The sequence below is a fragment of the Homo sapiens genome, chromosome 2 (genome assembly GCF_000001405.40).
Source record: "Homo sapiens chromosome 2, GRCh38.p14 Primary Assembly".
Taxonomy (NCBI): Eukaryota; Metazoa; Chordata; class Mammalia; order Primates; family Hominidae; genus Homo; species Homo sapiens.
In genome coordinates this window covers 183,947,938-183,964,667 of record NC_000002.12, presented here as the reverse complement: position 1 = coordinate 183,964,667, position 16,730 = coordinate 183,947,938, and the positions used below count along the sequence as shown (strand labels likewise).

General features: G+C 33.4%; 1 non-coding gene across 1 annotated transcript; it reads left to right on the top strand.

The window, feature by feature from the left end:
- Positions 1-15,231: 15,231 nt before the first annotated feature.
- Positions 15,232-15,335, top strand: LOC124906171 (small nucleolar RNA U13). The gene has a single exon (XR_007088758.1). It is a non-coding gene; the product is annotated as a small nucleolar RNA U13 (small nucleolar RNA).
- The last annotated feature ends 1,395 nt before the right edge of the window (positions 15,336-16,730 follow it).

Here is a 16,730-nt window from a genome sequence, read left to right as displayed (position 1 = left end):
TTTTTCCATATGCCTTTTGTAATTTCAACCCAGGAGGAAAGTGGCAAGAGAAGTGATAGAAAAATACAACAGAATGATCAGACAAACATTCTCCATTGCCTTATATTCCCTTCAGAGCATCGTGAAATGCAGTGTCAGTTATTCCTACATCAAAACTATATCAATATATTCAACTGGCCTTTAGATGGTTTAGGATGATTATTCATATTGACAATTTTCTCTATTCTGATATTGGTGCTTTCTCCCTAAGTGCCTGCATCTTCATGTTAACAGCAAGGGACTTTTGTATCTCTGACAATCTACAGTGAGCAGAATTAGCCTCCACTCTTGAAAAAAATAAAACAGAATGAGTTTCTATGATCTACATTTTGTATTTCATCTTATACCATGAGTTTTGTCATTGAAAAGAAAGTATAAGATAACTACCTATCGCCACTTGCATGCCAAATCAGATGGAGACTTCTCTCATTTTCCTGTTCGAAATTTTGCAATGATTAACCACCTCTTCCTAATATTGAGAAGCTTTTGTTGGTTACTTATCATATGTCAGGCATTGTGCTTTATATTATTAATCCTTAAAACAATTATAAAGGACAGAAACCATTATTGTTCCAATTTTACAGCTGAGGAAATGAAACTCAGAGAGAGAAAATCACTCTCCATGAAGTCTTGCCCAAGATCACAATGGTAGGAAATTGTAATTAGAGATAAAACTCTTTGTTACTAGGAGTCACATTCTCATTCACTCTGCTCTTCTGCCTCTCGTTTGAAACTTTCCTTCCCATTGATTTCCAGGACATGGTTTGCTCATGGATCTTATCACACCTTTATGAAGCATTCTTTACCACTGTTTCCACTTCCTGTACCTGTCTATTAAAAGCTATGACTGCATTTTTATTACATCTCCTCTCTATTACACATCCAAGAGAATTGAGCTCACATATTTCTATCAATAATCACTTATATTTCAATGACCTCTATATCTAGATATGCACTCACATCAGTCTTCAATTCCAAGATTAAATTCCTATTTTTCTATATCTTTTTGCTATTTCACATAGGCCTCTCAAATTTAACATGTCCAAATATGAGTTCATTTCGTCCTCCAACCATCTCTTGAATTTCCTATGTCATTTATGAGATACCAACATCTGCCATTTTAATGTGGCATAATTGCACCCAGTCTTGAAACCTAAGAATTGTCTTAGACTTTCCCCTGTAGCTCATACACTTGTACTCCATTTTTCCATCTTATTTTTGACCAAACACTCTTTACACTACCTCTCCATGTCTCTTTATCCCATCTCTTTCTGTGAATTAAGATAGTCTTCATGGCAGACCTCATTAATCTCCTCTGGGCAACTAAAATTTTGTCCTATTTTTCCCCTTGTTTCCATTCTCAGTCCTCTTTAATATGGATTAAACTTCTGGAATTACGTATTTCAAACTAAAATCTTATTCACTTAACTACTGCAAAACACTCAATCTCCTTAGCAACTATAAGATAAATCTAAGTTCCTAGGTTCAGAGCATTTCTGGATCTCACCCATTTTATTTATTAAACCTAAGTATTTGCTGCTCCTGCTCTTGAATCCCATACTTAGGTGCACATGGAATTGCTAGAAATTCTCCATGCTTTGAGTGCTGGCATACAATGTTGCAATGCCTATATTCCTTTTTGTCATTTTCTTTACCCAGGTATTCATTCACTACAAGTGACTATAGTTGCACATGGTCATACCATATTGTTATTCCTTCCTTTGTGATCATACACATACTACTGTTAAATCATTTCTCAAAATGAATTATAATGTTTTATTTACATTACTGGCTATAAGCTCCTTCAGATCATAGACTGTAATTCATCTTCATTTAAGCAGTGCCTGCAAATGCCATAATAGGACAAAATAAATATTTATTGGATAAAGTAATGTCTGATAAATAGATGGATGGGAAATGTCATATGTTCTGGACTTTAATATACAGAAAGGAAGAAATTGAATCTAGTTCAGTTCCACTGTCACAAATAACTAAATGTATATTTTGTTTATCACTCTTTAAAATAAAATAATACTTCCTTTAATAACATGCCTTTTTATAAATAAAATGTATATTTTCTTAAAGTCATTGAAGAGAAAAAATATCTGCATATTTCTAGTTACTACAATTAAAAGATTTAAACTATTATTAAATAAAATAATAGCTTAACACAAATTTTAACATATAACAAGCTCTCAAAAAATGTTGTTTAGAGATATCAATTACCTAAAACAAAACATTGAAAATTTAAATTTCTTAAAGTAGTCATTGAATTTAGAAATACTTCTTTTTAAGTAAAATGTGATCAGATGCCTTACTTTAAAGATTCTATGACAAACTTAGATGAGATATAAAAGAAAGCATTTATCTTCAAACAGCCACCCCCTAAATTACTCAAATAAAATGTATCAATGTAGCACATGAAGTAACTTGAATAACCTTATGTGTGATCCTCTAACTATTGAGTCAAACTGAGTATGGAGAATCTTAATCTTTAAAGTGGACATATTTCCACCATCAGATGACACTTTCAAATGTAATTTGATGAATTATATCAAAAGGAAAAAAAAACATGTTTAAGATATTCCATAAAGGCAATCTCTTTCAACTCTTGTTGAAATAAAAATGTGGTAGGCCTTTGTTTGTTATCTAATGAATGCTAAATAAAATACTGTCTAACGTTTCTAAGATGAAGCAAGAACTGTTATTAATGGAGCACAAAAGTATAGTAAATGAATATTCAGTAGTTTTGCGAAAACTGATTGGATTTTCAATTGCATTTAAAATGGCTATTCGAATCAATAGCCTATTATTTCAGTTGACATAGTCTATTTCATAAATATGGAATATAATAATTATAAGTGCTGTTGTCAATAGGCTAGAGGTTAATTGCAAAAACAGCCAGAATGCCAGTGTTGGCTGGGTAATATTCAAAACTGAGTCAAGTGTGATGAAACGTTTGTGTATCTATAAGGAATGTTTCAAAACTAAACTTGCATTCAGTTGAAGGTTACTGTAAAAAGCTTCCACAAATACTATGTACAAATACTAAATCACATCTAGGAAGCTATCAGCAGCTAGTAATTTAAAAGTGTAAAAGCTCAAAATTCAATAAATAATGCCTTTTACTTTAAATATGGCTATGTGAATTTTCAGTATTTCCCAATGTACGCTATTGTTAGGTAACATGGTCTTCTACAGATTCCTTGTTATTCTTAACACCTCATATTATTTATATAAACCTTTATATAAATTGGCTAAGTCTGGGTTTACCTGGGATTTATTTAGAAATACATATTTACAAAAGCTAAAAACAGGAAACTATGAAAATGAAAAAAAGAATGTAATATAATTACATAATTATTTTACTTATTGAATTTTTATTATAATGAGGTTCTTAGCTTTATACTTACTGAAATTTGAAGTACAAAAATACTGCATTTAGATAAAATAATGCAGTAGCACATAAATAAATAAATATATAAATAAATTATTCTTTCTCTTCTTCAATTCTATATGTTCTCAAATGTAACAAATATCAAAGTTTGGTATATAGCATTCCACATGTGACTCTCTATGCATGTAAACTGTTGAAACTAAAGGCATATATTTTCCTACAAACACTATTAAAATGTACACATAAGTCTACTACTACACTTAATACTTATCATATTTTGTTGTTTTTTAAAATAATCTTTTTGCTTTTAATTGGGTATGATTGACATACCAAAAATTGTACATATTTAATGTACATACCTTAATGAACATGAAGTATATACCTGTGAAACCATAAGCAAAGCCATAAACATAACAATCACCTGTAAATGTTTTCTTCCTTCTTTTTGTTGTTGTTGTAAAAACATTTAACATAAGTGCTACCCTATTAACAAATCTTAATGCATACAATACAGTATTTTTAGTTATAGGCACTATGTTGTACTGTAGATTTCTAGGACTTATTCATTTTGTGACTGAAACTGTACCCTTTGATCAACGTCTCCCCAATTCCTCTTCCCCAGAGGTCCTGGTAATGGCTTCCCCTCAGCCATTCTAGTGTTTTCATGAGGTTGACTTTTAGAATACACAATTTTTATGAGTGTACATAACTAGATAAAGCACACGCTGAGCCATAAAACAAGATTTAATATATTTAAAAAATTAAAATCATACAGAATAATTTTTCTGATCTAATAGAATTCAACATTAGGAAATTAAAACATACAATTATGAGTAACTCCCGGGTCAAATTAGATATCACAGTGGAACTTGTTAAATGTTTGAAACTAAATTATAATGAAAATACAAAATATCAAAGTTTCTGAGATCAGATGAAGCAGTGCATTGAGGAATTTAAACCTGCAAATATTGCTATTAAAAAGAAAGGGGACCAGGTATGGTGGTGCACACCTGTTATTCCAGCACTTTGGAAAACTTGAGTCCAGGAGTTCAATAACAGCCTGGGCAACAGAGCAAGACCCCATCTATCTCTCCAAAAATAAAAATAAATTAGTTATGCATGTTGGCCTCTGTCTGTAGTCCCAGTTACTTGGAAAGCTGAGGCAGGAGGATCACTTGAACACAGGAGTTCGAGGTTGCAGTGTACTATGATAATGCCACTGCACTACAGCCTGGGCAACAGAGTGAGACCCTTTCTCTAAAAAGAAAAAAATAGAATAAAGGATATGGGATTATATTTGCATGTAGAGAAAGTAAGGATATAATTTTTAATAAGGTTTCATTTTATTGGGAAAGATAGAGTATACATATAATTAGCTATATATTAGAAGAAATACATCATCTAAGACTAGATATTTAAATGTAACAATAAAAATTTAACACAATATTTCTATTACATTGTGTTACTTACTCTTAAATAGAAAAGCCAGAACCCATAAAGGAAAATACTAATAAACTTGAGTTCATACAAATTTAAAACATCTCAATGACAAACAATACCGTAAACGGCATTAAAAGACAAATTACAAATTATGAGAAAAATTTGCAATTTTTATGTCAGTCAAAATATAAATCTTTAATATACATAGGAAATTTATGAATTAATTTGAGAATATTAATAAAATAATTCAATTCTAAAAAGAAAGAAAATTGGGAGATAGAAAAGTCATTTAGTTTTATTTGGAATCAGGTAAATGCCACTTAAAAAATAATATACCACTTTTTAAATCCATAATATTGTCAACAAATTTAAAAAATTTATAACGTCATGTTAGCAAGGGTATAAGGGGCTTCTTTTTGCATGTTTTTTTTAACTTACTGTCTGTAATTGGAGTGTTAAGATTCTATAGTGACATTTGAAGCATAATAAACTTGAGAGCAAGAGTAAGAAGAACTAGCTTGTGAATACTTAAAAAATAAAAACCACTGATTTGTAAGACTGGACAGTCAAGAATAAAGGCAGGCACAGAAAACATGGAGAAGCAGAAACGCAATCATATCAGGAGTAGGTCAAACTTCACCTCAATAGGAGCTGTTTAAAAATAATAATAAAATCTATGGACCTATCATGCAGGAGAAAATTGCTTCAACTTCCCCAGCAGGGCACTAAAACTACTAGTTGCAGTGCAAAAGAATCTCATGGTTTCCCAGGGCCTGCAATTCACTTCCCCTACAGGGAAATCGCCACTAAGCATTTTCTTCTTATTGGGAAGAGTAAAGTATAGTCGAATCTGTCTGGCTCCGTGGCCAGACAGACTGCATCAAAATCCCTGCTTGCTACCTTAGTTTGAAGCAGTTTCTTCATCTAAAAATATGTGGATATTACCTATGATGTGAGGATTAAATAAAAGAGCAGTGAATGTGAACAGCACAGTGCTTGACATAGTGGAGGTGTGCAGCAAAAGTTAATCCTCCTTCTTTCCTACTTCCTGGGAAAATCAAAGAATCAGGGATGCTGTAGTTGAGTAAGTAAATTAGCCAACCCTTTGACTCCATGTCAACTGAAAGGATCATTCGAGGAATTGTCAGAAAAGAAACAGCTTTTTAAAAATTCACAAATTGAATTTAATCAAGTGAGTTAAAAAATAAAGCCAACAACTGCTTGGTGTTTGCAGCTTTAAATGACTGTTTTCAGGTTTATCTCCTTATTTCATCCTTAGGTACAGTGGCAAAAACATTGTAGTTATGGTTTGAAAAATGTTGTTCAAGTCCCAAGTGTTTATTAGACAAATCAGCTACCATCTCTCACTCACAATCTATTTAATGAGAAAGAAGCATTAAGAACCACTTCACCATGAATAAGAATCAAAATAATAATTGTCTATAAAAATCTTTCTTTTGGCCAAATACAAACATCCTTTTCTTGGTTTGGTTTCCACCAGAAACAAACACTGAGATAGTAAATTTAGAACGGGTAGTTTTTGAGTTATACAAATTTAAAACACTAGGAGGGTAAACAAGTGAAAGAGAGGAAGGAGAAAAGAGTGTGACAGATTAGAGATGGCCACACAGTTTTCAGCCCCTGAGATTGAGAGGTTACCCCTTCAATTAAGCATGACGCCCTGGTAAAAGGAGAAGGGGTCATGATTTCTCTGACAAATAGAATATGGCAGAGGGGCCCCATGCCAATTTCTAGGTCAAAGCCTTAAGAGACTGGCAGCTTCACCTTCTGTCTCTTGAAACACTTGGCATCAGGGCAGTAAACAGCCATGTATGAAGTCCAATTACCTGTTAAGAGAGACCAAGTGGGAAGGTCCTAATAGTTCATGGAGAGGGAGAGAGATCCAGCTGGGCTCAGGTTTCCAGATGTCCTCATAGAGGCACTAGGAATGTGAACAAAGTCAGCAAAATTATTTTGGATCCTCAGTATCATCCCTGCCACCAGCTGATTACTACTGAGTGTCCCCAGTTGACGTGATATGTATCAGAAGAAATGTACAGCTGGGCTTTGCCCAAAGGTGTAAATTATAAAAATTGAAAAATTCAGTAAAATGATTGGTGTTGAAGCCACTAATACTTGGAGTAGTTTGTTAAATGCCAATAAATATTCCAAAAAAAATAGCAGTAAAAAGAGGGTATCATCAAGCCAGCTATCACTGTGAGTGAATGAAACTTAATCCTATAAGAAAAATTTGGGAAATGATGTCAAACTTAAAGTTATGCTACTTGGAAGATGAGAGAGCTGGAATACTTATATGTGAACTTATTGTTTGATGACTGCTGAACAATGGTTGTCAATTCTGTAGCATATCGGACTTGGTGAATCCTAAGAGGTACAGCACAGTATACAGTATCTGCCACCATTCTATACAAATGTATAGGTCTTCCTTTGCCTTTCTTCTGCTAACATATTCAACTTTGATTCTGATTCTAGTGCTTTTATTTCCCCAAAAAGCGTTTTCAAAAATCTGAAAACATTCATGTGTTTTGAAGAAATCAGATAAAAATTTGTTTGAATTTTTATTTATTTATTTATTTTGACCTTTCTAGTCTTATCCTTACAGTTTTTTTAAAAAAATCATCTTGTGTAAACCCTAAAACAAAGTGTTACCATCATTACTGAAATGGAAAAGGCCATAAATGTTTGCATTTGCAAATTTTGGCTCCCTTTCTTACTACTTTGAATTTGGGAACAATAGAAGCCAGTGGATGTATTTATAAATATCTATCAACTGAAAATGTTTTAAACTTTTGATTGTCTGTTTATTTTTGTGTTGCTGCTTTTTGTTTGTCTAGGTTAATGGTTAGGGCCTGGAAACAGACTTGCTGAATTTGAATCCCTGCTCAGCTACTTACTAATTCTGTGCTCTGGGAAAAATACTTAACATTTCTGTGCCTCAGAAATCTTTCATTATCAGTACAAAGAAGGAAGCTAATAATATTTTACTTCTGAAAGGATTGGTGTGAGTATTGAATAAGTCATTAAATATAAATCATTTGGAATAGTGCCTGGCCTACATATGTATACAGATCCTTAATAAATGGTAAAACATTATTATTTTAAAAATTATAAAATATAGAAATGACATGAAGATCTAATTTAGCAAAGGACTATCCAGGGGGCTAAATACATTTAATTCCTAGTTGTGTCTTTACGCCAATATAAAGCTGTTTATGGAATCTTAGCTTACTCAAAGCAGAACATTCTCTAAGCTTTATTATTCTACAACTTGAACAGAACAGTCATGAGCAAGAAGTATTGAACAGAGAAAGCCTTAGGGTAGGCATTTATTGTTCATTTTGATGCTATTCGCAGACTCTTTCTAAGTCAAAAAATGATGTGACCAAATTCCAATCAGTAATCTTACTCATTTTTCATAGCTAAAAACATGCCTTTAGTCCTTCAGATTGAAAATTGGCAAAGATACAAGCATATAAGCAGTTTTACCATTTAATGAGTTTAAGCAAAATCTTTTTATAGCCCAGATTCTCTAATACAATTCAAAGTTGCAATTCAAGTTTGAATAAAAAAGGAAAGAAAACGTCTGAAAGAATCCTAGAGAATGAAAAAAACCTTGGAAATGGCATTCTCATTTGTACTGTTCTGATCCCTTTCCTATGATATTCTGTAATTAATAACTGGTGTTCTCTGAGTTCCTGTTGCTATTTCTGGTTTACTCTCTTCCCTGCTGGTAACTTTCACAATGAAATGGTTTGCATCTAAAGTCAGAGTTAAAAAATAATATGAATTAGATCGCTTAGTCTTAAATGGTTGATTGACTGTTTTCCATAGCATAGAGCATCATGCCTAAAAATCTGATCAGTCTCTACTCTTATCTTGATCTTAACTCTTTACCTGGCTCAAGAATAGTCCGGAATATGGATCAAACAGTCTCTAGTTATTGTGATTCTCATTAAGTCTATTAGAACTGATCATGAGGTAAAATCTTGGTTTTATTCTTTCTGTTCAAAACACCAACCACACCTCCTAATTGTTAGATGCTGTATTTTTCTGACTCTCTCCTTTTCCTGGCTCAAGGCACATAATTGTTGAAGTTGTATGATGTTGTCATAAGGGTTTGTTTTACTATCTTCTCTAGCGAGTGTTTGAGATTTTCTGTAATATGTTAAAAAATATACTAGATTATTACTCATCTTTATATTTTACCGGAAGCTTTATCCAAACCTGTTTCTGCTATTTTTTTTTTTTAGATATCAGAACAAGTTATTAATTGGCAACTTTTGAGCAATACAACACCTAAAAAAGCTACTCGCTCATCCCATTCTCTGGTAAACAAACATGTTGGGGGCAAGGATAACAATTTCTTCTTCAATGTGAACACGTATTAATTAATAATGAATCCCTAAAATGGTTTGTCATAACTAAGTATTCCTCGATGAATTCATTGTGAGGTGTCTTTCTACTACTCTGGGACGTGAGAGCTCACACCAAGTCTTTTGGCATTGAGTTTGCAATGCTTTTTAAAAATGTGTCTAAACTCAGTCAAAACCTAATGTTTTTTCCTGTGTTTTTTGCTTCCCACTCCTTTGCTTCTCCATGCTTTCTTTTAACATGCACTTGGAAAGCTGAAACAGCTTTCAAAATAAGGGAGTCATAGTTACATAAGATTTAGATTCTACAATTAAATCATAAGGTGGAGTCAAAATTATTACCCTTGATAATATCTTAATGTTTAAGTGATATCATCAGTTTAAGTGATAAAAAAAACCTTGCATAGTAATGTATTTAAATAAGCATTAGATTATATTTTAATCACATAAACAAAAAGGAGGAAGTAGAAAAGAAAGAACAGTAGGATAAAAAGTTCAAGATTTGTAAAATTACCTTAACCATATTCTTTCATCTTTCTGGATTTGATTTTACTTGGCCTCACACACATGCACACACAAATAAAAAAGTTCTTCTCTTTCTTTATCCTTCCCTCCCTCCTTCCCTTTCTCTTATTTATTGTTGAATATGAAGAAGGAGCAGAGAGACAGTTCTATTTGCATCAATATAAGTTAATTTATGACACAGATTTACTGTATTACTTTTCTTCTTTCCAGTTGAAAAATAAAATATTTTTAACAAGTTCAGAAACTATGCAGGTGTAGCCTCCCTTCCTCTCCACTTGCAAGGTAAAACACAACAGAGTCATGTAACATCAACTCATCTTTTCTTGACCTGAACCAGGTCTTTGAGACAATAACTCTCAATTTATCAAGGGCAGAAAAGATTCTTAATGTTCTGGAAACTTATATTTAATTAATAATTTATCAAAGTAAGAACCCCTATTATTTACTTTAAAAATGACCATCTGGGCTATTATAAATGACAGAGACTTGGTTAACATATGTAGTAAAGAGAGATACACTGGTTCTCTTGGTTGGGAGGATCTCATGGTAGCTACAAGATCTAAAGAAGTGCTGCAAGTTCCAGAGCCTCAAGACTGGAACCAGGATCTAGTCAGTTACCAAAGGTTTCAGACACACATCTCTTACATGGCCATTTTAGCAGAAATAGAGTTTCTCTTTCCAATGTCTACATAGCAATCCTAGAGAAACAGACTCTGGTCTTGCTTGAATCTGAGGCCTACCTTTAGAGCATTCATTATATTCCAAAGAATGAGATACTACAAGTATCTGAATCTAAAATACACATCTATACATAGAGTCAGAGGGCTGGACCTCTGATTAGAAGAGGGAAAATGGGATTTTAAAAAATGCGCTTAACAGTCAAATGCAATAGCTACCTTGTGATCCTTGGGACAGTCATTGGAATGTGAAATCTGCTTTGTTATGCCAAAATAATTTTTTTTAAAAAGTGTCTATAATGTATATTATAAACACATCCACAAGTTAGTCTCTAAATAGTTGAGATATTTGCATTTTCAGAAAAAAATGCCATATTTTACTTCAGTGCTAATATGATGAGCTGAATATCCTTAAATAGTTATTTAGTACTGCATACATCTGGAATTTTAAACCATGATACTGATAAAGGAAAGGGAAAGCTTTTGGGAGTCTAATGAATTACAAAAATAGGAGAATAAAAAAATTTGTATCAGGGAGTGCAAAATTAAAGATAATGAGAAGATTGCCGAACAAAGATTTAATTTAATCTCATTATGCTTTCTTGAAACTTCCTTGTCAATTAAACAAACCACGTGAAAAAACTGAGCTAAGGAAAAATGGACTAATCAATAAAGAAAGAAACTTAAAAGAGCATAAATCAATAGCCCAGTTCCTTTCCAAAATCAGAAGACACAAAACTTAATCTCATCTCATTTTTGTCAATAGTTGTTTGAGTAATTTGGAAAACTATACAAGATTGTTACCATAGAGATGAATAAATAGGCTGAAATCCTGAATAATCAATAGTACCTTTTATTCTTAAATTTATAAATATGTTTTGGATATCTTCTGCAAGATCCGAGAATGACTAGATATACGTATATATACTTAACTGTTCACAATCTGAAAAATAGCAATCAGTCTTTACATTCTTGAACAAAAGTCATTTAATGAAAATTCATAAAGTATATATGGTTGTTTAAGGCCAAATATGATTGCATATTCAGCTATTCGAATTTAACATGACTTGTTTACACTACTATTTAGTTTACTAAAGGTCTAATCCCCTATACAAATGCCAAAACTTTAACCCTTTCTGTCTAAACAAGATGTACCATGAAAATCCAGATAATTAGTATGTTCATATATATATATACCACGAACTTATCAGCAAGTTGGTTGATATTACCATTGAAAAATAAGATTATGTTTATATAGTCTAAGATATGATAAGAAATTGTTATGCAGTAACTATGTGCCAGTCATTTTCAAAGGAACTTAAGGCATAAATGTTTTATAATAGAGCATTTGTCATAGATATTAACATATTTTGCCAGTAAGAAGTCAAAGGCTTAGAAACAACGTGTAATCAACAGAGCCAGAATTGAATCAAGTTTGTTTGACCTCAAAGCTCATGTATTATATACTGTACTAAATTGTCTTCTAATTATTGATTTATACTGATGGGGAGAATTATTTTCCAAATATTTATTTCATTTCCTCTGAGAGGATTAGACATCTGTATGCATTGCAATGTGACAGAGAACAACTCCTTGCAGACAAAATATACTTATTTCTTAATTATCAGGTTTGTCCATGTGACTTGCCTTGATCCATAGACTGTGAACATGAGTGATGTATGTTACATCTAAGCAGAAGCTTTAAGGAACACTGGAAGTTTCCAACACTTGATATTTTCTCTCTGCCTCGGATACAGCATTTGGTTAAAAACCAAATATGGTTTGCTCCTCTTGCCTGATACAAGTGAAAAAGAAATGTGCAGCAAAGAAACAGACACCAACATTTAATATCAGTGAGAAATAAATGTTTGTTGATATAAATTATTGAGATTTCAGGTTTTATGTTATTTATTGCAGGCAGTACTGTGAATATTTATAAAGAGTATTTATTATCATTCTAACAATTGTGAAGTAAATGTGGTCTTAGTAGAATATTCCACTTCCCATTTTAAAGATAAAACTTCATGTGGTGAAAGCTCTTGGCATTCACTATTCACAATTGGTAGGAAGTTCTGATGCGGTCAGTCCATCTTAGGAGCATGAAGACAAATGACATACTAAGGTTAGAGAGCTGAAAGGTAGGAAGATTCTGGATACCCCATGATACGGTTGTGTCACCATTCCAGGCCTGGATTAAAAATCTGACATCTTCCAATGTGAGAAAAATAAACACTGTACTTGTCTAAGTCACTACAGTTAGAAACTTTAGACCTGCAAATTCAGACCTCTTAGCTCAAAGCAATTTTCTTGTATTGTTTGCTTACTCTTTTCCTCCTGTTCCCTTTTCTCCATCAGAACTTATTAGTCACATTCAGCCTCATGGATCTATTGCGTAAGTGTTACAGCTCTTGTTTACTTTACGTGTATGTTCTTTGAGATATTTATTGCATCTGATCTTCTATATTATTTAATTCAGCATTCAATCTTGATCATACTCTCCTTTAATTCATAAACTGAATTTTCTGAATTTGACTAGTGTGCTGCCATGCTCCCAGAGCACTTTATAATGTTGCAGTTAGAACTTTTGGCCAGGTGCAGTGTCTTACACCCTTAATCCCAACACTTTCAGAGTCTGAGACAGGAGGATTGCTTAAGGCCAAGAGTTCAAGACCAGCCTAGGCAATATGGCAAGACCCCATCTCTACAAAAAACTAAAAGCTAAAAAATAGCCAGGCATGGTGCCAGGCATCTGTCATCCTAGCTACTCAGGAGGCTGAGGCAGAAGGATCACTTGAGCCCAGGAGGTTGAGGCTACAGTGAGCCAAAATCATGCCACTACACTCCAGCCTGGGTAAAAAAGCAAAACCCTGTTTCTAAAATAAATAATAAATAAACATTAAAAATTAAAAATAAATAACTTTCAAGTGCTTGAGTATTTGGGTTTTTTTTTATTCCAAGATTTGGTCACTTCTCCCTACTAATTCTGCATTAATGGGTAATGTGTTTTGATTATTCAATCTGACCCTTTTTTATCTATGTGGGGAGCCTATCAAAAGAGCAGATTTTTATGCATTTATTTACGCATTTTTATACATTCATTTATGCACTTAATTATTGGATATATTGGGACTCATGTCTAAATGTCAGACAAAATCAAAAGGACTGGGCACACTGTGCATCTATGAACTAAGGGCAAAGTGTTAGTTTCTGCTTAAGGCCGTTGCAGTAGATCTTTCCCCTTGTGGGTCTTTGTATACTTTCCTATTTTATATGTAAAGAAGACAAACATGCTTTTTTCCCCTTGGCATTTTGGAGAGACCCAGCTTGCACTTTTAGTATCTTTCTGGCATTCTGGCACTCACAGAAGGCTATGGCATTATGCCCAGATTTCACTAATTCCCCCACAAACAGCTCCTGGCAGGAGGCTTTTTCTTCCATTAAAGCCTCTGGACTTTTTAGCCTTATTGCAGGAAATTTCTTGTCCCCTATATCACTCTTTAAAGGGACCTCCACAAATCTTGAGGCCTAGTCTCTCCTAATAGCCTGCAAGTGTCAGCAGCCACTGGGCTCAGGAGAGGCAAATAACCTAAGTCTGGCTGGGGAGTGGAGGAGAGCCATGTTAAGGCTCCAAATACCCAGAATTTCCTTTATTTGTGTTAAGATGATAAGGTATTTTTTGTGTGTGTTAATTTTATATTATTGCCATGACAAATTACCACAAACTGAGCAGCTCAAAACAACATAAATTTATTATTACAAAGTATCTGTAAGTCAAAACTCTGAGAGGCAGAAATTAAGTTTTTGCAAGGCTGCTTTCCCTGCTGGAGCCTCTAAGGAAATATCCGCTTCTTAGCATATTCAGGGTATTGGCTGAATTTTGTTCCTCGAGGTTGTAGGACTCAGGTTCTCACTTCCTTTCTGTCAGCTGGGAGCAAATTTTTGCTCCCAGGGGTTGTCTTCATTTCTTCGCATGCTTTCCATTTAGCCCTTCCAGGTCGTCCAGGTCAAATCTCTTTTACACTTCTAAACTCCATTGTTTTATTCCACTACACTCCTTCCTTTCCTTTAAGGATTTATGTGATTAGACTGGGCCAACCAGATAATACAATATAATCATCTTATTTTAAGATCTATAACCTTATTTACATTGGAAAATCCATTCTAGTTTATCTAATGTACACATACATTCTAGGGATCAAGGCATGGACATCTTTTGAGAGCCACTCTGCTTAATACAGGATATTTGAATATCGTTGGGATTAACTTATTTTATATAAAGTGGTCAAATATAAAGAAGACAGATGATTATTTATAGTTTCTAAGGCAATAATAATAAATAGTATCCTAAATACAGGTGAGTTAATTGACATAGAAGAGAAAGAGGAGTTCCTATAAAGTTATAGGAAGGAAGAAAGAATGGATGGTAAAAGTGGAGTCAAAAGGATAAAAGAGGTTCAAGATGGTAGGAGGTGAGCAATAGAGCCTTAAGCTTCAGTGAGAATGAATAAAATGAAAATTGGAAGTTTTACTTGATTTAGCAAGTCGATGTCCTTGAATACCTTTTTAAGGGGTGTGCAGACTGGAGAAAAGCAATAGAAAACAAATTGCAAAGGATCAAGAAACTAATGAGAAACTGATCATGAATATATCTGATAGGTTTTAATGTTTTGGATTGAAAGTGCAAGGAAAAAAACATGTAGCTGGAGCTAGAGTGTCATGCAGTTAAAGGACCCAAGTTGAAGGTAGTTAAGCATCCTGAGAGATCTTTTTGTGGTTCACAAGTGTGATGATTAGGTTTTCAGACTCATGTGTGAGACATGCCTTCCTCAAACCTTCTTATGCTATCAGCACATAATCTGGCTGACATTATAAAAAGAGAGAGAATTCTGAGAATATTTTCATGATTGGATATGAGGTGAGAGAGAAAAATACATATCAAAAATTACTGTCAGATTTCTGTTGCTCATTGAGTGGATGGTGCTACCAAGGCTTCACCAGGAAATGGGAAGAGAACACCACAGTTGCAGAAAGAGGATTAATTTGATGTTATGCTTTGTTTCATAGATTACTAGTTACTGTGCCAATATTTATGTTTCCATTCAATTTTACTTGCAGCACCATAATTTTGTGCTGATAAACAACATACTTGGCCAAAAAAACCCTATATTTTTCAGTCTCCTTGGCAGCTAGAGATGGCCAACAGATGTAAGCAGATGTCATTTCGCTGGAATTCCCAATTTTACTCCTTCTTCTTATATGAAATGTGAAGAAAATAGCTGTAGCATCAGTGGCTTTCCTGGATCATGGGGAATCTTGAATATGAATTACTTCAGTTTGGACATGAAAAAAAAAACAAGAAAAAAATGATTAAGATCAAATCTCTTAAAGTTCAGAACCAAGAGTGGGGAGAGAAATGAGAAACGAATTTCTTTCATAAAGCAAAGTAAGTATTTGCTAGATGGGCTAATGAAGAAACTTATCCCACTCTCAGAGTAGATAATTTTATTATTTCTGGTATTGGGTTATGATAATTACACACCAGTAAATCCATGTGTTTCTCATTGTCCTTTTTCAAATATGATTTTTTATGGTTGTTAGCCTAGTCCTACTTCACTCTCACATACTAGTGGCTGTGTCAGGGAAGAAATGTGTCTTTTAGCTTAAAATGTACCAGGTCAGTAATAACCTAATCTACACCCAAAGAATGGGATGATAGACATAGAAATTCTGGTTCATGAGTTAGTTTTAGTGCTCTGATGGAATTAGAGATTTGTCTCCCTAAAAGGGTAGATTACCCAGTATATAGAATGGAGAGTGTGCATGAGCAGGTGTGTGACAAAAGAGCCAAATATGGTAGAATTTTCTTTTAATACCCATTCTTCAATTTTTTTCTCAATAATAGAAGCTTCTCAGATAACTTAATCTAAACTGATAGAAGAGAAAAGACACTTCAAAACAATGAAAATATCTTTATCTCATGGCAGAACTTTTGAAACAAAGTAAATCCAATTTCATAATTTTGTCTTGTTAATGAAGACTATTTTAGAGGCAGCCTAATAATACTGATATTATGCTTGATTCTCTTTTGGCCCTTGCTTTTGCATCAGTTGCTTTCTCTCAAAAGTATAAAAATATTACGTGAAATTTTTGAGTTTTTAAGAGCTTGTGTTTTCACACCAACTTACTTAACAAGTTTAAATAACACCTTTAATTTCTAATTTACTTTCGTTGATAGGAGTTCAGAGACACAGAAACCCCAAA